We start from the raw sequence: 21,644 nt of genomic DNA on the forward strand, positions 1-21,644 counted from the left end.
CACAATGGAAGAGTCCCATATTTTATCCTTACATTCAGAGGCATTATTTTTCCCCATATTCCAAATTCAGAAGTCATCAATGGACACAGCTGGGGAGACAGGCCCACGGCACTTCTGATCTGTTTCACCAGGCTCAGGGTAAGCCCCTGCACTCTTCTGGGGTGAGATGCCAGCTTTGCCTTCCTGTCACCTCCACAATATTTCCATTGTCCCTTATTTTATTTTCTGCCTTTTCTTCCTGTTTCTTAGGCATCGTCATTACAGTTTAGCCAAGTTAATTAAAATACAGCAGCATGCTTGTAAGACAGGGCATGTCCTGCACAGTGAGCAGCATTTCTGTAGAACTAATTTGGCAGTGCTATATTTAGTTTGGGAAAGGCAGCTGTGAGCATTCACTTAATGTGCATGAATACTCTGCATTATTAGACCCTCACTGCTACTTTTACTTGTTGAAATAGGATGAGGGATATTTCTGATTTTGCATTGTTTTCCAATTTTGGTTTATTTTCTTGATTTCTGAACTTTTTTTTTACATATTCATAAAAGAATAAAAGCATGATTTATTGTAGTCCAGTTTAAAGATGGTGTGGAAAGGGCTCTGTGGACTAGCACTTCATAAAGTAACCACTAATATAGAATATATATTAATATTGTATATTAGATAATATATAATATATATTCTATAGTGCATATAATGTATTAATATTGTATATTATATGTTATAATATATATTTGTATATCAGATTATTATATGTAACATATTAGTATGTTGTATTTTTATACATAATACTATTATATATGCTATATGTTACTTGTATGTTATATATGTTATATATCATATATAGAATGTTGTATTTCTATTTCCAATAAAAATAGAAATGCAAGCCACACATGTAATTTTTAATTTTCTAATAGTCTTACTAAAAAAGTAAAAATAAACAGGTGAAATTAATTTTAATAATATATTGTATTTAACCCAATAGCATATCTAAACTACTATCATTTGACCTGTAAATATTGAATAACATAAAAGTCATGAGCTATTTTATGCTCTTTTTTAATAATAAATCTTCAAAATCGGTGTGTATGTTACACTTAGAGCACATCTCAAATCAGACTGGCCGCATTTAAAGCACCCAGGAGCCACAATGGCAGTGGCTCTGAAGCGCACAGCACAGCTATAGACTAAGATCAGAATTGCTGGCAGTAACCTGTCTTAAACCAAAGCTGTTTCTTCTGTGCTAATGATATAGATTGTGTTTCTCCTCCTAGAAACGTTATGGTCTGTAATTGATATCTTTGCAAACAGAAAGAAGAGGAGTAAAAGACTAACTGCAGGGACAATGACATAAATGTATCAATACACATTACTTATTTTTTTCCAAATCTAAAGCAAGTCTTGGGAAATATCTTTGGGCTTCTATTTCTTTTGCTGCCTGGGTATTTCATTTTATCCAGTGTCAAAGGGAACACTGGCTCATCAGTGGATTGTCAATTATTTCAGAGGATTGCTATAAATGTCCACCACCCACACCCATGCAATTGTACATGGGAGAGTTTTAAGACAAATTTCTGGAAGCAATTTCACCTTTGAAAAAGAAACTGGAAAAATCATTTTCCTGGATCTGCTTAAACCATGTTGAATATTTTCTCCCACATTCCATTAGGCAGAGTTTAAATATGATAAAGATATTATTAAACCAATGGAGCATGTGTTTAGATATACATGCATTAACCTCTGAAAACAACAGCAACAAAGAACCACAAAATGAAGACTTGTTCTTTTCTCACATCTTTATTACTCACTTCTCATCTTCCTTTCACACTCTTAAACTCTCCAGCTGCTCATCTCTAACTTGCACTGACACTAATTCTGGTAACTCACTAGATCAGAGACTACTTTAGCCCAAGAAACCTAAATAATTTCTTCCCTTGATTTCCCAGGAAAAAGAAATCTGTCACTTCTTGGAATAGAATTTCCAATATGAATACAAAGTAGATTTAATGGCTTTAAATTTTAAAATAACCACCTTTAGTTTATTAAACTGGATTTTTGAACATTGTTAAGTCTGTTTTAATTATTATGATGGACTTAGGGTAGTTTAAAGAAAAAGCGGTAAATTTTATCTGCACAATTCAGGGTTTTAAAGTTCTGTTGGGCAGCCATTATATTTCAGGCACTGAGATTGGTGCTAGAGATAGAAAGATGAATAGGACACAATCTAAGCCCTCAGTGACAAGACTCTAATAGGAAACATGATGATAGACATGAACCAGTAGCCATGATACAGTGCTAGAAGTCCAAAGAAGAAATTCATAAGACCCTGGACAGTGAAGAGATGATGTTTCACAGGGGAATAGAGGAGTGAAGGAAGGAGTCAAAAGGGGACCACTTCACTAAGGCACTAATGGACCAAATGTCTGCAAGACTTAATGCAGTCACAGTATAGGATAATAGGGGAAATAGAGTAAAACAGCTGGAATGATTAGAGTTGTGGTCAGAGATTAGATCCTATCTATGAACATGGGAGTGGATATTGACCTACAGCAAAGGTTAAAGTGCTGGGAAGTCTGAAGGTGAGTCACTGACATAGAAATGGAAACTTCCCCAAGAGGATGGCAGGAGCTGCTGGGAAGGGGAATATTTTATAAATCAACCACATATTTACCACCTCAAATTTAACATAACCCACATGGAATCCTAGTATCGCTACCCGACTATGTCCTACTCTAATGTCCCAGTCTTAGTAAATATCACCCCGCATTCATCCAGTAGCTCATGCCAGAATCCTCTCAGTCATTCCTGATGCTGTCTTCTTTCTCACCCCCATGGCTTATGCATCACAAGTCCTAGTGATTCCATGAACAAAGCATGTAAATGCTCTCCTCCATTTTCAGTCTCTATACCACCACTTTGATGCATGCTTCGCTATCTCCAAAACTACCATTTTCACCTCCCTGGTCCACCACGGTAGCATCCCTCCTAAATGTCCTGTTTCCCTCCTTACTTCTCATCAACTCCTTTCTTTTATCCTATGATCTTCAAATTTTGTAAATTATTAGTAGTAAAAAAAATTTTAGCATGTGCCTGCAATGTATGCATATCTGTAAGTTGCAAAGATGTACTACTGTTTCTGTACTAATATATTATACATGTTTAAAATGTGTGCAAAAGTACAAATGTTAAATGATGAGTATGAAATAGTGCTAAAATATTTTAATCATACTTATTGATCATACAAAACCTTTTTGCTCTCACTAAACATTAATAATAGGAGAAATGTGATTTGTATGCTTCATTATTTTTTCAAATCTGGATTTAAAACTTGTAGCAAATCCCAATTCTGCTTCGTCATGCAGTTTATTTTGATGATTAATTTAATAGCTGTCATGTCTGAAAAAGATAACTCACAGAGACACATAGATCTGGATGAAAGAAGTACATCTTTGATTTTACCAACTAGACATTTGTGTCAGTCCATTCTTGTGTGGCTGTAAAACGTACCTGAGATTGGATAATTCATAAAGAAAAGAGGTTTGTACTAGAGTTGCCCAGCAGTGTTCCAGAGCACTGGCCTTCATATATGTTGCATGTGGCCTCTCTGAGGATATTTTGAAGATCCAATCCTGTCCATGCCTATTTTAAGATTTTAGTTTAAATAATACATTCTTCATTTTAGGTTAAATAGTTAGAAAAAATATAATTATCACTGAAATTTAAACACTGACATTTAATTATAACTATTATGTATCTCCTTAAATGTGCCACTGAAACATAAATGCCAAAGTGAATTGATACCCAACATAAGGCTAAATAGCACAGGGAAAGCTCTTCTCATTGCATCCATCAGGTGATGCAGAATTTTGATTCATCCCATGACTCATGTTATTAACCAGATGACAGAAGGTGCTGTCTGCTAGCCTTTTCCATTGGAAATCTCCTCTTTTCTCTGTCTATTTAATGCATATTTTTTTTGGAAAGGCATTTTGAGATTTTATGTTTATCCCTTTCATCATCAAACTGTCAATTTATTGTTTGTTTATTTATGTGAATACAGACTCATGGGTTTCTGCCGTAATCCAATGGGTTATAATCTGTTACAATCATTTATTTTGATCTTCAAGTTGTCTAAGGCTTGGCCACTGGGAGCCCCTTGAAACTTCTCTGAATTTTTGGCATATCCCCATTATTCCTTGAGCAATTCCTTATACTGCAGCACATTAGATGTTCCAGACTCAACTTACAGTTTCTCTACCTTAGCCCTGAATCCTCCATTTCTCCAAGGTGCCATGATTTCTTTTAGTGGATAAAGGACAATAATATTTAGAGAAAATATATGAGTGTTTATGGCTAATGGGGGTATCACTGCTCTTACACACTCTTAGTTGACAGAGCTAAGGAATATATTTTATACTCATGCATATGCATATTTCCATATCTGTTTATTTTATATCTATATATTTTGAGAACCATGAATTCATACTGGTATCTCTAGTTCCAATCTGATATAATAGAGTTACTTCTGGTTTTCTGCTTTTTTATATTTGTAATTCCTTTCTCATCCATGGTGAAGCTTCTGATTCTTGTTATTCTCAATATGTTATTTGATCAGTCTCCTTGTGTGTAGCCAATCTTGAGTTGCCGCTACTGCCACCACCAGGAACCCTGCAGGGACACCCTCTCCACCCTGCTTGGTTTCTGACACTATGTGCTGGGCCTCCCTCTTTGGGTTGACCTCGTCACCCATCTCAGACTCTGAAACCCACACTCTGCTACCACCCCTTGAGTAGACATTCTTCTCATGCTGGTCTGGCTCTGACATTTCACTCTGGTACCATGGCCCTCTCCCAAAGCAACTGCACGGATGGCTAACTAGTTCTGCTCCATTTCACTGCTTTGGGACTGAATTGTTTAGAAAAGGGAGAGGAAGAGAAAAGGAAGCAAAACCATGTTTTAGTGGACTGGTCCTGTATTGCTGCAGTGAACATAAAATGCCGTTTTGTTATAAATAAATACTATTAAATCTAGGTTTCCTGAATGAGATTTGAAACATCATTAAATGTTTTGGTTTTGCTAAATACATAATGAATGCATATTATGGCAAATGACTTAAAGTTGCAGTCCACCTCTTTATTCAGTTGTTACTTTTGACTTGGCATTTTCTGAATACCTTAAGAACTTGAACAACAAACAGATGATTACCCTCCACCGCCTCATCACTATTACCACCCGGGTCATCAGACAGTGGTACTTGTAGAGTTTCCACATTGTCCTGACAAATAACAATTTACCCTTGAACAATGCAGGAGTGAGGGGCACTGACCCCTTTCCCTGCACAGTCAAAAATTTTTGTATAACTTTTGACTCCTTAAAAAACTACTTGGCTGGGCGCAGTGGCTCACACCTGTAATCCCAGCACTTTGAGAGGCCAAGGCCAAGGTGGGTGGATCATGAGGTCAGGAGTTTGAGACCAGCCTAGCCAACATGGTGAAACCCCATCTCTACTAAAAATACAAAAAGTAGTCAGGCGTGGTGGCAGGTGCCTGTAATCCCAGCTACTCAGGAGGCTGAGGCAGGAGAGTTGCTTGAACTGGGGAAGCGGAGGTTGCAGTGAGCTGAGATCGCGCCACTACACTCCAGCCTGGGCAACAGAGTGAGACTCCATCTCAAAAGAAACAAACAAACAAACAACGACAACAAAAAACACACAAAAAAATACTAATAGGCTACTATTGAGAAGCCTTACTGATAACAGTCAACACATATTTTGTATAATTATTATGTACTATATTCTTACAGTAAAATATGCTAGAGAAAATAAAAATGTTATTTAGAAAATCATAGGAAAGAGAAAATATATTTACTATTAAGTGGAAATGAACCATCATAACGGCCTTCATCCTTATTTTCTTCATGTTAAGTAGACTTAGTAGGAGGTGGGGGAAAGGGAGGGGGTGGTCTTGCTGTCTCAGCGATTGCAGAGGCAGAACAAAATCCACATATAAGTAGACCCACACAGTTCAAATGCATATTGTTCAGGAATCAACCGTATCTAGTTACTATAACTCAATCATATAACAGTGTATGAAAATTTATCTAAGCACACAAATTATATTGTTTCTGAAATTCAGTATCCTCATCTATATTTAGGCTATTCTTGCATTGCTATAAAGAAATACCTGAGACTGGGTAATTTATAAGAAAAGAAGTTTAATTGGCTCATGGTTCTGCAGGTTGTACAGGAAGCATCTGCTTCTGGGGAGGCCCCAGGAAGCTTTTGCTCATGGTGGAAGGCAAAGTGGGAGCAGGCATGTCACATGGCAAAAGCAGGAGCAAGAGAGAGTGGGGTGGGAGGTGACATACACTTTTAAATGACCAGATCTCGTAAGAACCCAATACCGTGTAAACAGCACCAAGCCATGAGGGATCCACCCCCATGACCCCATGACCCAAACATCTCCCCCCAGTCCCCACCTCCATCCAGCATTGGGGATTACAATTCAACATGAGATTTGGGTGGGGACAACTATCCAAACTATATTATCATCTTTACAATGCAATCGTGTAATTTGGATGAGCTTCATAAAATGGATTGTTAAAGAAACCCCAATAGCAGAGCAGTGAAGAGAATTTCAAGGATGCTCAGTGATATGATGACAAAAATAAGTTGAGTTTACTCTGCAACAAGTGAGTGTTTGATTTTGCAGCCACACCTCATCATTAAGACAGTTAACACTGTATTTCATACTTAGACATTTTTAGAAGAAAGATATTATTTAAAATAATGCTATAAATTTTAGTGTTATTTTTCTTGACATTGTCTTTAAAAAGATTAAGTACTCTTGTAATTAATCTTTACACAATTACATTAATATATGTAACATTAAGAAGTAGAGAAATTACTAGCCAAAAAAAGCAGGTTAGGTTAAGAAGACCTTATGAATATTACATATACTTCTCAGAAAACCAGAGAAAACATCATGTACTGTTCTGTCAAGATAATGTGATACTTAAATAATCCTTTTAGGCTTTTTTTTTTTCTTTAAACCTGGTTGGTAAAGAGAATAATTGGAAATGTTCCTTTTACCAGCACAGTTCAACAATACAATGAAATGTCAATACTTTAGAAAATGAATTAATGATAATTGTTAGGAATTTTAGTCTAGGCAACCGCTGAAATTGGAATGCAAAGTAGGCTTCTAATTATTTTTACAAATTTAGCTAGAGGGATGTTTTTAACTCAGCTACTTTTAATATTTAACTTTCTTCAAAGCATTAAGGTATATAAGCATTCGAGCACTGAGAAAAGCAAATTAAAATTAAAATACCACCTCCAAAAGGGACAGGAAAAAATCCCGGTCAAAGATCAGGAAGACTTCAGTAGTTTTATTTCTGGTGAAGAAAATTTCCAAATGGTCATTCTTAAATCCTAAATTCTCAGCTTTGCTTCAGATTCTTTTGAAGCCATCCGTTAGGTGGAAAAGGTTCCCCACATCAAAAACAATGATTATATCTGTACAGAATAAGCTCTTTTCTAAAAAAAAAAAAAAAAAAAAAGTCAAAACTCTTACAAGTATTATCGATACTTGAGTTGGCTGTTGGTAATTGGAAAAACCTTACAGAGTTCAGAGTTTCAGGTAGAAATCCCTTATCTAGTGATGATTCTGGGACAGGACTGGCTTACCTTTGACAAATGACAGTTTATAGTCAGTTGAAGATTGCTTAAGAAGAGAAAGTATAGCCAATTCAAATGAAAAATATAGATAAGGCAGGGTAAGCTCCATAGGAAGAAACTGATTAGGACAAGATTGTAGGACTGCAAGGGAAAAAAAGTGACCTTGTACATAAAGTGAGAAGGGAAGGCCCTGAGTCAAAGGAATGCATGGTGGAAGGGGCTTTGAGAGAAATAAAATATGAATTGCTTTCTTACCATAGAACACCTGGAAGAATTGCTATTTTCACATTTCCAAATCACACCACATACTTCTATTCTAAGGTAGCTGACTGCAAATAATTGTAATAATGCTGTTCGGACACTCATCTTTTGGAGATGGACTATTTAGAAAACTAGAAAATTTTATTTTTACACTTTTATTCATGACCAGAAATCAAAATTCTATAAAGAGTATTGCAGGATTTCAAAGCTCACAGGTAGTTGGGCAAAGTATGCTGGGTAAAAAAAAAACTGAAGCAGAGAATGTTAGGTTTTCCAATGTATGGAAAGGCATGGAAGTGCGAAAGCCTTGTTCAGGAGGACAAAGCTTTGGATGGCTCTGAAAGTCAAAGTGAAACAGATAATTAAGCTAAGTAAATAATTTTGTTTAGAATTAGTCTAAATTTGAGGAGTTGTCTAAGTTTATATAGATAAGTTAAGCAGCATATTGAAAATGAAACGATGTCTAATCTCTTGGAGATTGCTGAGTTTTATGGAAAACAGGACTCATGCAACAGCATTATCTAAAATTGGAGAACCTCCTGGGTATTAGCTACTATTCAACAATGAAATTCTAAATTCAAAATTAGAAATTCAACAATGAAATTCTAAGTGGGTAACCCCACTTAGAGGGGAGACAACAATTTCTGCCATGTGGAGAAAACATTTTTACATGAAACGGACTCTGGACGCTATTCTATCAAAAGTCATGGTAGGATGATACGTACTCATGTTACAGACGCATGGCTCAAAAACAGCAGAGGGAGAAAGAAAGTATTAAGAAGTACTGCTCCTCAAAAATTGGCTTTACTTTCTTGCAAAAATAGGGAGTTGGCATTTTGCAGAGTCGTTTGGAGGCAAATCATCTCCTTAGAAATGCAGTTAATAAAGACCACTTAAAAAATGCAATGAAAAAAATTTTTTTTCAAACTGAAAAGACTGAAAATTTTCTTTAAATCATGTTACACTTTTTGTGACAAGGAAATAACTACTCAAATGACCTGGAGTAGAGCTAGAGGGAGCCAAGGAAACTTACAAAAGTGAAAACATTATGCAAACATGAAATTCAGGACTGGCAACTACCCTTTATCACACTCGTGTGTGTAGTAAAATATAATGAATTACACTTTAGTCAAAAATGTAGAGCTACAATTTGGAAATATAGACTCAAATAATCTCAATCATTTTAAAATTTATACCATTGAAAATTAAATACCTTCTTCAGGTATTTTTTTACTGTGATATCTGAATCAGAGAAATTCCTAGGGGCAATTGCAGTCCACTTCTGATACTTGGGTTGCGTTGAGCAAATAAATAGCACCTCATAAAGAACTCTGCCTCCTCAAGGTTTATTTAGGGCTGGATATGCTATATACTGCATAATATAACACCAGTAAAGGGAGACTTAAAAGGGAATAAAAATACTACTTAAATAACTTTTTACCTCAAGAAAGCCAACACTAAGCCCAGGACTTGGCATATAATAGATATTCAACAGGTAATTGCTAAAATCCATAGTTTCCATTTTTATGTACTTTGTATATCATGATATGCATCCATTATTTTACAAAGCTGTAATCAGTTGGTAAAAATGCAATTTTATTTTTTTATCAGTTTACTTAATACAACCATAGTAGTAAGAAAAATGGTTTCTGTAGCTGACAGGCTTCTCATAAACATTGACTTCATACATGACATTTATTAGCCTCAAGATTATGCTATTAAAAATATGGCTCAAAGAATATCTTCTTACATACTTGCCTTTTCCTTTGCTGGAAATTCGTGGTCAGAATTAATTTCTATAAATTATTGACTTTTATCAAAGGATATGAAGATTTTAGTCTGATTAAAATTGGTTTATAAGTTGCTTTCTCTTCAGGCCGTACCAACACACACTGGTAGAGAACCTATGAAAATATCACCTTTATAAGAAAGTTCCAGAATGTTTTTGTACAGGAGGAGGGCTATGTCAGTCAATGGTCACAGATTTCTCTTACCAGTCAGTTAGAATGTATGTAGGAGTCTGGTCTATTCAAATTACCATGTTGGGTACTTTTATGAGGAGAAGAAATTGATAGAATGCATAGTCTCTGTCATTAACTTACCATCTAGTTGGGAAGACTAAACTTATTTTATTAAATTACTATACTCACAGCACTATCCAAGATGTTGCAGTGTGGAGAGGGTAGGAAGGAAGGTTGAACTTGATAAGAAACAGAACAATGGTCCTTACCTTCAAAAAATTGGCCACGTAGCTGACTGGAGTCAATGGAGTAATAAATATTCCTTGTGGTTATAAATGAGCTTACTGTAAATTTCACACATTTCAAACTTCTAGAATAGAGAACTTTTATCCTTCTTAGGCCACCCTATCAATCTTATGTACTTCAGGAAAATTACTCTAAAAATGTTGAAATATGGCAAGTGCTTGTTTTTAAATTATGTTGCCACCATGACAAGGGCTTTCTTGACATTATTTGAGATATGTTAGATAACCTGAGGACAGTAAGGTTTGGAACCATTATTGAGGAGGCAGATTCTAGGCCTCTGTAATCATGATACTTTGCTCCATTGAAAAGCTATCAGAGGATTAACATTTATAGTTGCAGAGGAAGATGTTAGTGATTCTTCTGAAGTGAAATTGTTAACATATCTTTTTTGTTTGTTTGTCTTGTTTTTTATTTGTTTTGTTTTGTTTTGTTTTTTGAGACAGCGTCTCACTCTGTCCGCAAGCTGGAGCGCAGTGGCGTGATCTCGGCTCACTGTAACCTCCGCCTCCCGGGTTCAAGCGATTCTCTTGCCTCAGCCTCCTGGGTAGCTGGGACTACAGGCGCGTGCCATCACGCCTGGCTAATTTTATGTATTTTTGGTAGAGACGGGGTTTCACCATGTTAGCCAGGATGGTCTCAATCTCCTGACCTCGCGATTCACCCACCTCGGCCTCCCAAAGTGCTGGGATTACAGGCATGAGCCACCGCGCCCGGCCAACCTTTCTTTAACTTCAAAGATTGCATTCCGTAAAGATGATAAAGCTCAGGTTCTGGAATAGCCTGGTGAGATATTGTCATGAAAAGTGGTGAGAGAGGTGAAAAGAGTTAGAGGGCTGGTAAGCAGAAAGGAAAAAAGAAAGAAAGAAAATCTGATTTAAAAGATCTATATATACAATAGGCGTGATGTTCTTCACTTTGAGAATGAGATATTAGCATCATAGGCTTCTTAGAATGCTGAGGAGTCTCTGCAATGACTAAAAAGTTAGTTTGAGGAAACATATTTTGGACCTTTACTATGAATAGAGATGGCTATGAGTCAGTGCTTTTCACCGGCTGCATCTTCCTGCTGAGAGGATCAAGATTATCCCATCAGAGTCAACCAGGAAGCAGATTCTTTGTACTGGATTGTGTATCAAAAATGTGATTGATTCATTTGTCCTTTATTCACTTACCCATTTATTTGTCCAGCAAGTACTGACTGAATTCTAACTATGTACACTCTTCTAGGAGCTGGGAATACTGAATAGAATATGGTGGACATATCCTCTCTAGTGTCATGAAGTCAGGAGAGCAATCAGACTAGTAATTGTAGTAAGTTGTGTTGAGCAGTAATGCTAAGGAAGTACAGAGGGGTATGGGCACAACTAGCAAATGATTCTAATGTATTCTAGAGGATTGGGAAATGGCTCCATGAGGATGTCCAGTTTAACATGAGTAGGAAATATCCTAGAGAGGGACTGGGAAACAGCATTCTGGATGAGAGAAAAACAGGTAATGAATGAACAAAGGCAAAAGAGAGAGAAGAATTTTGAGGAAATAAAAGAAACGTTCAGGATGGCCCCCGACATGGAGTTTGAGAGGGATGGTAATTAGAATTGAGGCTGAAACAGCAGGTAAGCCCTAGATTACATGAGTCACTTTAAAGAGTTGGAACTTTATTGTAAGTGAAACAGGCATCAATTGGTTTTATGCAGGGGAAAGTACTAGGTCGATTTGTGTTCATTACAGGGCAATTTGGCGGCTGCGTGGAGAATGCATTTGAGGGGATAGGGAATTAAGTCAGCAAGATTGGTTAGCAGACCACAGAAGTAATACACATGAGACAAAATGGTGGACTCTTCCACGGTTTTGACAATAGGAATGGAAAGAAGTGAAGGAATTGAGAGGAAAAGAGGTAAATAAGCAAGAATTGGAGCTGGTTGTAAGATTTGCTTTAATGAACAAATCTGAGTAAGAACTTGATGTAAGATTCAGTAAGAGGAGGAGCAAGGGATTATATTGAAGTTCACCTTAGGAAACTTAGTGGTACCATGATGTGATATTAAGTTAAAAAAAAAAAGTTAAAGAAGTTAAATGATTTCACTTAGGGACATAAGTTTGAGATGCCTGGGAGCCATCGAAAGTGAAGAGGCTTAATAAGCAGTCAGTTATACAGATGCGGAATTCAGTAAAGATTTGACCTAGAAATATGGATTTGGGAGTCATCAGCAAATAGATGGTAATTGAAACAATCGGAAGGATGTGATTATCCGGGGAGAATGAAAATAGAACCCTGCAGAACAAAGGTAGTTAAGGAGGAGGGTAAAGGAAAATGAAGCTACAAAGATGATTGAGAAAATTGACCCGAACAGTGAGACAACAGCCATGAGAGTGTGCTGACTCAGAAACTAAGAGCAAACACTGATTGGGAGGGACGGAGCAGTGCCATTTGCAGCTGTGAAGATCCGGCGAGTTAAGGACAGAGAACTTAGTGAGGTGGATGAGAACAGTTCCAGTAGAGTCGGAGAACAAGTGCCTGTTTATATATAGCACTCCATTTCCTTCTTTTTCTTCTGTAAATCAGATCACCTGGGCTGTGAGCATCATGTGAAAGTTAAGAATACATGGAATTCCAGTAAAGACCTCTTTCTTCCGTAAATTACATGACCTGTAGGAACATTCATTGTGATTTTTTGGAGCTGTTTTTCCTCACTTTTTGTCCTCAGCTTGGTTTAGTAAGTAATGCAGATTGCTTGGTCATAGGAAGATGAAACACTATTTGATTAAGTTGCTGAAATATTTTTTATAAAAATCTGATGAAGCAAAAGTATTTTAATGCACAAGGATTAATTTTAATTATCCAGAACACCAAAAGCATTATTTCTATTAAGAAAAAATTTTATTTATATAAATGTGATATTCTCAGGAACTTATTTTTGAATTTCTTCGAAAACAAAAAAGCATCTTTAGAGTTTGAGTAGACAATTTTATCACCAGGAAAAGATATGAGTCCGTACATTAGGGGATTATGTGTTACTTGGTGAATAATGACTACATTGCTATAAACCAAGCTTGTTCAACCCATGGGCCGTGGGCTGCATGCAGCCCAGGATAGCTTTGAATACAGCCCCAAATAAATTCATAAACTTAAAACATTATGAGATATTTTGCAATATATTTATTTTTAGCTCATCAGCTATCATTAGTGTTAGTGTATTTTATGTGTGGCCTAAGACAATTCTTTTTTTTCTAATGTGGCCCAGGGAAGTCAAAGGATTAGATACCCCTGCTATAATCTTATAAGGTCAAGATTGTTTTTCTTTTTTTTTTTTTTTTGAATGTGAATGATTAATTCTTTCTTGCCTTGGTTTAGTTTTTGAGGGACTCCTCTATTTTCTCTTTTGTTTCTCCTGATTTTCAAGCTTTGGGTTTGGGCAGTTATATTCCTAAAGCATTGTAAATAATAGTAGAAAGGGTACAACAAAGAGGGAACAGGCTGGGTACTGTGGCTCACACCTGTAATCCCAGCACTTTAGGAGGCTAAGGCAGGAGAATCATTTGAGCTCACAAGATTGAGACCAGCCTGGGCAACCTCAGGAGATTCTATCTGTACAAAAAATTAAAAAAATTAGCTGGGCATGGGAGCATGCACCATAGTCCAAGCTACTTGGAAGGCTAAGCCAGGAGGATTGCTTGAGCCCAGGAGGTCAAGGCTGCAGTGAGCCATGATCATGCCACAGACTGGAAGACAGAGTGAAACCCTGTCTCAAAACAAAGAAAAAAAAGTGAAAAAAGAAAAAAAAAGATTTTGTTTTTAAAAAGGAACAGATACTATTATTGGTGGTTTAGATGAGTTGCCCAAGTGCACACTTTTATGAGTCAATGTATTGTTTTCAGTATCTTTAGGAAATTGAGGCAGTGTATCCTCACCTTAATGTAACCCGCTATAGGGTAGATTTCTATATAGCATGAATTTGCTCTGCACTCCTCTAAAAGATGTTTAGGCCTTAGAAGTAATAAATAATTAAAGCACCCTTGGCAAACCATATCATCTTCACCTATTATCATAATTAATAATTGTATAGCCCTTTATATTTTGAGAACACACACAGATATGCACACACACAGATTATATATATATATACATATATAGATATATATACACACAGATATATATATAGATATATATATCTGTGTGTGTGTATACACACACACACACACACACACACACACACACACACACGGTCATGCATTGCTTAAAGATGGAGCTATGTTATGAGAAAATGTGGCATTAGGCAATTTCACCATTGTGCCAACATCATAGAGTGCGCTTACACAAACCTACATGGTATAGCCTACTATACGCTTAGGCTGTATACTATAGCCTATTGCTCCTAGGCTACAAATCTTTACGGCATGTTACTGTAGTGAATACTGCAGGCACTTGTAACACGATGGTGAGTATTTGTGTATCTAAACATACCTAAATATAGAAAAGGTACAGTAAAAATATAGTATTATAGTTTTATTGGATCACTGCTGTATATGCAGACCAAAAAATCGTGTAGCTCATGGCTGTAGATATATATATACACACACACACACACACACACACGGCTGTATATATATATATATATATATATATGTATATATATACACACACATAACAGCCATATATATATATATATACAAGACCGTAATATATATATATATATATATAGCCGTATATATATATCTTATTCATTTGTCCTGTGAAATAGGTTATTAGCCCTATTTTATAGATAAGGAATCTGAAGCTTAAAGAAGGTTAAATTGCATGGCTGTGGGCACACAGAATGTGGTTATAGAGCTAGAAGGTGAGGCTCCCATTCATCCCCCCACCTGTCCCACCCCATTTCTGACAGATTGTTACTACAGCTTTTATGATTTGCAGAGTTTACTTTTCCACCTCTGGGAATTCTACAGAAATGAGAAAAAAAAAGTTTCCAAAATTAGACAAAAATACCAGCCTCTGACAGAAATTGAATGCAATTAAAGATAACTAAGTATTAATAATTTATGGACTCCAACAAGTCTGAGCTTTTCTTGCATTCAGCCTTTTCCTAATTGGCAGGAATCACTAACTGGTAGAAGCACTCGGCTCTACATGTTCCTGTTTCCTGTGTGTTTGCCATTAGTGCAAACCTGTGAGATCATGGTGACTTTGTGAAACTTCTCGAGAAAATTCAGTCAAGTCTAAGAAAGGTTTTCATTCTTTGTCCAACTTATTGGGACCACTTAAGATTCAAATTGCAATAAAGAGATGATAAAAACATTTAAAATACTTTCTATGCAGGTGCCAATGATAAGGTGCTTTTTGCTACAAAAATGCAAAGGTTATACCTAAGTGTGCAGAAAAGAAATGGTGAGGCTGCTGGGAATTCTGAGTCTGAAAATAATGCTCAATAAATAGTAGGCAATAAATATTATGCAATAAACGCATAATAAAAAGGACTCTCACTGGTAATACAGGTCTATGTCATGAGATTGTGTAAAATTTTGTATGTGTATCTAGTGCCTGCTATGTGCTCGGTGTTGCTCTTTTAAATATATTAACTTATTTGATTGTTATACCAACTCTATAGGGACGATTCCGTGGTTTCCTCCACTTCACAGGAGAAACTGAGGCTAAAGACATTAAAAAACTTACCCTAAGACACACAATGAATATGTGGTGGAGCCAGAATTCAAACTTAGAGGTTTAGATCCAGCACATTATTCTGCCTCTCCAGTAAAATCAGACAGAAAATCAGTGTCTGCAAAATCAGAAAATATTTGTATTAGTCTGTTCTCATACTGCTAGTAAAGACATACCTGAGACTCAGTAATTTATAAAGAAAGAGATTTAATGGACTCACAGTTCCACATGGCTGGAGGGGCCTCACAATCATGGTAGAAGGCAAAGGAAGAGCAAAGGGACTTCTTACGTGGCAGCGGGCAAGAGAGCAAATGCAGGGGAACTCCCCTTTATAAAACCATCAGATCTCATGAGACTAATTCACTATCATGAGAACAACACGGGAAAGACCCACCCCAGTGATTCAATTACCTCCCACCAGGTCCCTCCCATGACACATGGGAATTATAGGAACTACAATTCAAGATAAGATTTGGGTGGGAACACAGCAAAGCCATATCAATACTCATGCCTTTCGACCCAGTGTTTCCACTTGCGGTAATACTTTGTACACATTAGCAAAGGTGTAGGTACAAGAATATTCACTGAAGTGTTATTTGTAACAGCTAAAAAAATTAAATCTATCCAAATGTTCATCAATAGGGGAATGATTAAATCATGCCATAGCCATTATCCTTGGGGAGTGCTAGGTGGCTGATATAAACTATGAGCTGAAATAATGAGTACTAACATGATAAAAGGACTAAAATTCGATGAGAAAAAAGCTATGTACAAAACAATGTGTGTACTATAAGACCTTTTTTTGCAAAATGTTGATGACAATTGAGATGGAAGAGGCAGAAAGTAAGATTAGTGTCTACAGATAGAAGAAAAACAATTGATAGCATGTGTGCTATAAATAATACTGCCAATTACTATCATTGTGTTATGAGATTACAGAGTATGTGTATTTCCAGTGATAAATTTATTCATTTAACAGGTACTTATTGGAAATGTGCCACATACGAGGTTCTAGGTGCTGAGGATGTATATGGAGCTTACATTCTCATTAGAAAAGACAAAATTAGCAAGTATATAGGTGAACATTTGAATTTTGATGCACAAAGCCTATTACTTTTATATTAAAAACATATTTTTTAAGATAACACAAAAAAGAAGACAATTACCAAAGTAAAGTGGTGGCGGGTTCTGTGAAAGTCTACAGCCCTTCTGTTCATGAAAGACTGGCTGTGAGGTAAGAGGCTGGTGGTAACCAAAATAAACCTGATGGAATAGATTTCATTTTAGATCCATCAGTTCTGACTGTGCCCCAAGACTTGAGACATGACTTAGGTAAAAAATAGAAAAATAATATAAACTGTGGGAGGGTTTATTTGTAAGTGTGCATGAAATTTGTAGGAGCCAAATCCGAATGACTGGGTGCTACCACTGATAGATACTGCCTATGCCTTCCTAACCTGGGAGTCCCCCCAAAACAGAATTACATGTTTAGTAATCAGTTCTATATCTAAGTATAGTTGGACAGGATCCCTTATAGGAACAGTAAGTATCTCCAGGATAAATTCCTGTAGATTTGCACCTCTTTCCCAGCAAGCTTCCCCTAAGTTGCCTCAGTGGTTAAGGAAAGCTTGATTTTGCTGATTCTACATGCCATAGAGTTCTCATTTTTCCAGCTTTGCTTTTTTTTCAGAGCCAGACCTAGATATCAAGCAATTATTTCTTGTTAAGACAGTATAACTAGGAAATAAAAGGCCTGTTAAAATAAAAAATAGATCCCCAAATGTATGTGTCTGTATGATTATGTGTGGATTAAAAAAAGAGTTGATTTGCCATGTACCATCCTCCTATCCACCTTGGATATTTGAAGTTTCATTTCTGTTTTTGAGTACACACACACACACACACACACACGTACACACACACACATTTATATCTATAGCCTTACTTCCAAGTATGTGTACATATCATATTATAATATCTATCCCCTCCAATAATTCAGATGAGTGTAAACATTTAGAAACTATCAGTTATATTTCCTTTGTTGATTTTTTAAAAGAAAAATCAAGAGGGCAAAAATTAAACACATTAGACAGAGCTGTAGTTGTTTGCTTGTGAAGCAAACGAGAGCCTGGGTCACTTAAGAAATGAGTTCAGTGGGTTTCCCAAGCTGAAAGCAGAAGTGCTAGAAGAAAATGGAGGAGTTGTTCCATATTAGGAGATTATTTTAAGCGACAGTCTAGATTATTAAATTCTGGTTAGTTAAGAGGATTATAAAGATTCCCATACAATTGGTCATATTTTCTGTTTTAGGACACAAACATACGGATGCAGTTTTGAAAGAGGTCAAAGAAAATGTCTGATGGACTCAGGGTGATCGATGGCACTTTTTTTTCTTTAATTCTCAAAAGATAACTACATAATAATAAATGCATAACATCTTGCAGTTTGTAAAGTTCATTAGCTCAGCCATCCTGTTAGGTGTGTACTGTGAAGATGTCTGTTCTACAGCTGAGGAGGTGGCAGCCCACAGGTTGAGTAACTTCACGGATTCCACAAACACTTTTTGAGAAACTGTGCCTTGGGTTTAACTGTTTCCCAAGTGGGCTTCAAGGTGGACTTAACAGTTATTATTTATTTGCATTCCCTGAAAGCAGAAACAAAATATTTTGTTGCTTAGTTAGGAAAAAGAGAATTCCTAAATGACCAGTATGAGGTTGGATACAACGCTCTTGCACACACCTTTTCTGATCTCTGAAAACTAGGTTCACATCTGAGCAAACAGCATTGCTGTTTTCAGAACTAAACAAGGTCACCTGGGTTCATATTGCAGACTCTTTTATTCTGCCTTGCTTCTTCTACTATATCTTACTGCCCTTTGTACATTCCAATACTTCTTGAAATTAGATACAAGTGAAAAAAATACTAAAAATGTTTTTTAAAAGCTAGAGATTGCCTTTTTACAGCATCAAAAATTTCAATGACAGGATTCATGTATAAAAAACAAGCACATGTAGAGCCCCTGAAATATTGTTTGATTCATAGAGTTTAAGTTCATAGATTAATTTTAGAGCTATATCTATATAAGATAGAATCCTGCTGTGTATACCCTGCCTAATTTCATCAATTCTCAGACCACCAGTGCTGTAAAAGACTACTCCACTCTTCTTTTTAAAATCCCAAAATAAAATGAACTGAAGATAAAGCATAGAAAATGTTGATCGGCATGTCAATATCTTTATCTTTTCTCTGCTTGTATGTTCCAGGTGGGAGAGTTCAGAGCACACGCTGCTGAGTGGACAGCCAACGTCACAGCCGAATTCAAAGAAACCAGGAGGCGACTGAGTGTGGAGATTTATGACAAGTTCCAGCGGGCCACCTCCATCAAGCGGAAGCTCTCGGCAGAACTGGCTGGAAACCACAATCAGGAGCTGACTCCTTGTAGGAGGACCCTGTCAGTGAACCACCTGACCAGCGAGAGGGATGTCTTGCCTCCCTTACTGAAGACTGAGAGTATCTATCTGAATGGTTTGACGCCACACTGTGCTGGTGAAGAGATTGCTGTGATTGAGAACATCAAATAGCCCTCTCTTTAAATAACCTTAGGCATAGCCATAGGTGAGGACTTCTCTATGCTCTTTATGACTGTTGCTGGTAGCATTTTTTAAATTGTGCATGAGCTCAAAGGGGGAACAAAATAGATACACCCATCATGGTCATCTATCATCAAGAGAATTTGGAATTCTGAGCCAGCACTTTCTTTCTGATGATGCTTGTTGAACGGTCCACTTTCTTTGATGAGTGGAATGACAAGCAATGTCTGATGCCTTTTTGTGCCCAGACTGTTTTCCTCTCTCTTTCCCTAATGTGCCATAAGGCCTCAGAATGAATGAGAATTGTTTCTGGTAACAATGTAGCTTTGAGGGATCAGTTCTTAACTTTTCAGGGTCTACCTAACTGAGCCTAGATATGGACCATTTATGGATGACAACAATTTTTTTTTTGTAAATGACAAGAAATTCTTATGCAGCCTTTTACCTAAGAAATTTTCTGTCAGTGCCTTATCTTATGAAGAAACAGAACCTCTCTAGCTAATGTGTGGTTTCTCCTTCCCTGCCCCCACCCCTAGGCTCACCTCTGCAGTCTTTTACCCCAGTTCTCCCATTTGAATACCATACCTTGCTGGAAACAGTGTGTAAAATGACTGAAGTGATGATGCCCGAAGATGAAATAGATGCCAAATTAGATGGACATTGAAGCAACACTCAGCGTTGCCTAGCGTTAAAGGCACTGCAGAGAAATGAGGTGCAGAGGTGGCCCCTCTGAGTATTTATTTGACTCAGGTACCAGTGGTACATATATACAGTGTAATTATGACCAGGCTGGTAAAATTGGCTGCTCGCAAACAATCCCCTTTTTTCCTGGCAGTATTTGGAATTTATCATTTATTAATAACTATACATTTTTAAAGGCAGAAGAAGAAAATCTATCTATCTATCTATCTATCTATCTATCTATCTATCTATCTATCTATCTAAATGACCTGACAGAAGAAAACTGTTAAAAATGGATATTATTGGAGGGGATTTAAAACAGTGGGTGTGAATTATCATTCTGATGGAAAGAAAATAGCAAAACAATGTGTTACAAGTATTTGCTAATAAACAGTATACTGCCAGCTTCTAATTGCTTTTTGATGTATGAAAGGCTTATATAATTTTCTTTTCGTTGGGTGACTTTTGCCAGATGAGAGGAGGTGGCACAGTGGTGAGTGCAGGGCACAGTCCTAGCCTTCTGTGGGTATACTTTTGGAGTTGTGACTTGGCTGTGAGGGCAGAAGTTGAAGTTGGGATCACTGTGACTTTGCACATGGAAAAATGCAGATTGCAGGCATAATTCATCTCTGACATTAGAGAAAAAGCTGTTATAGCACAATTTAAATTTTGAGAGTTTGCTGTGTTTTTTTTTCACATAAAAGAGGCTGATTATTCTTTTTAGTTTAATTTTATATCCTGTAATTCTTTGGATGGTTCCAAGATTCAGAAAAAATTCAGTAAATGCACCCCGTAAATTGCTACCCTTTCCTTTATTTTCATACTTAGATCTGCTGTACATTGTATATATATATAATTTTTAAAATGCAGAAAGAAAATAATTTCCCTAAATATAATTGCAAACTGATTTCTTTTACTTTTTTGTGTGTGGGGGTGGGAGCTGTATCTGAATAAGTGGCATTCAGATTAGGGTCTTGAAAAATAAACCCAGAATCTTTAAAAGAAGCAAATAAACTAATAGACGCTTATTTTCCAAAATTTAAATTTAAGCTAGAAATGTAAATATTCAATTAATTTGTTAAAAGTACTTTTATAAAGTTAAAAAAAATCCAACCAAAATTTTAGAAAGTCAGGCTCTTTTAGAAAGAAAGCTACACCCATTTCCTCAAATAACTGTTCCGAAAATTTATATGGTGGAATGCGCCATGTATAAACTGTGAATTGTATTGACAAATAAAGTTTGTAATTAAAGTCAGCATTTTCTGAGTCTCCTGCTTGCTGCTGAGAATTCAGATATGATCTAGGTAGGTAGAACTCCAGGATGTTACTTTTCATGCTGAGTTTGTGTCCCTCCTTTATTCAAAATATTTAAGAAATATTTTTGATGCATTGATACTACCCTTGCTAAATACATGCAGACTGTTTTCCTCAGTGGCTACTCACTAAAACCAAATATACTGAAATTCATTTTTGAAATAAGATATTTGAAATCGCATATAGTTTCAAGATTGTT

The 21,644-nt window shown here is 36.5% G+C and overlaps 1 protein-coding gene across 7 annotated transcripts in view; it reads left to right on the top strand.

The window, feature by feature from the left end:
• The window catches only part of KCNK2 (potassium two pore domain channel subfamily K member 2), a 231,549-nt gene extending 210,163 nt beyond the window's left edge, over positions 1-21,386 (top strand). For all 7 annotated transcript variants that reach the window (XM_017001249.2, NM_001017424.3, XM_011509524.3 and 4 more), the window contains one exon: positions 19,124-21,386. In XM_017001249.2, the coding sequence (XP_016856738.1) occupies positions 19,124-19,441 (318 nt within the window). In that variant the 3' untranslated portion in view covers positions 19,442-21,386. The remainder of the gene's footprint in view (positions 1-19,123) is intronic.
• The last annotated feature ends 258 nt before the right edge of the window (positions 21,387-21,644 follow it).

Source organism: Homo sapiens, chromosome 1 (genome assembly GCF_000001405.40).
Source record: "Homo sapiens chromosome 1, GRCh38.p14 Primary Assembly".
Classification (NCBI taxonomy): Eukaryota; Metazoa; Chordata; class Mammalia; order Primates; family Hominidae; genus Homo; species Homo sapiens.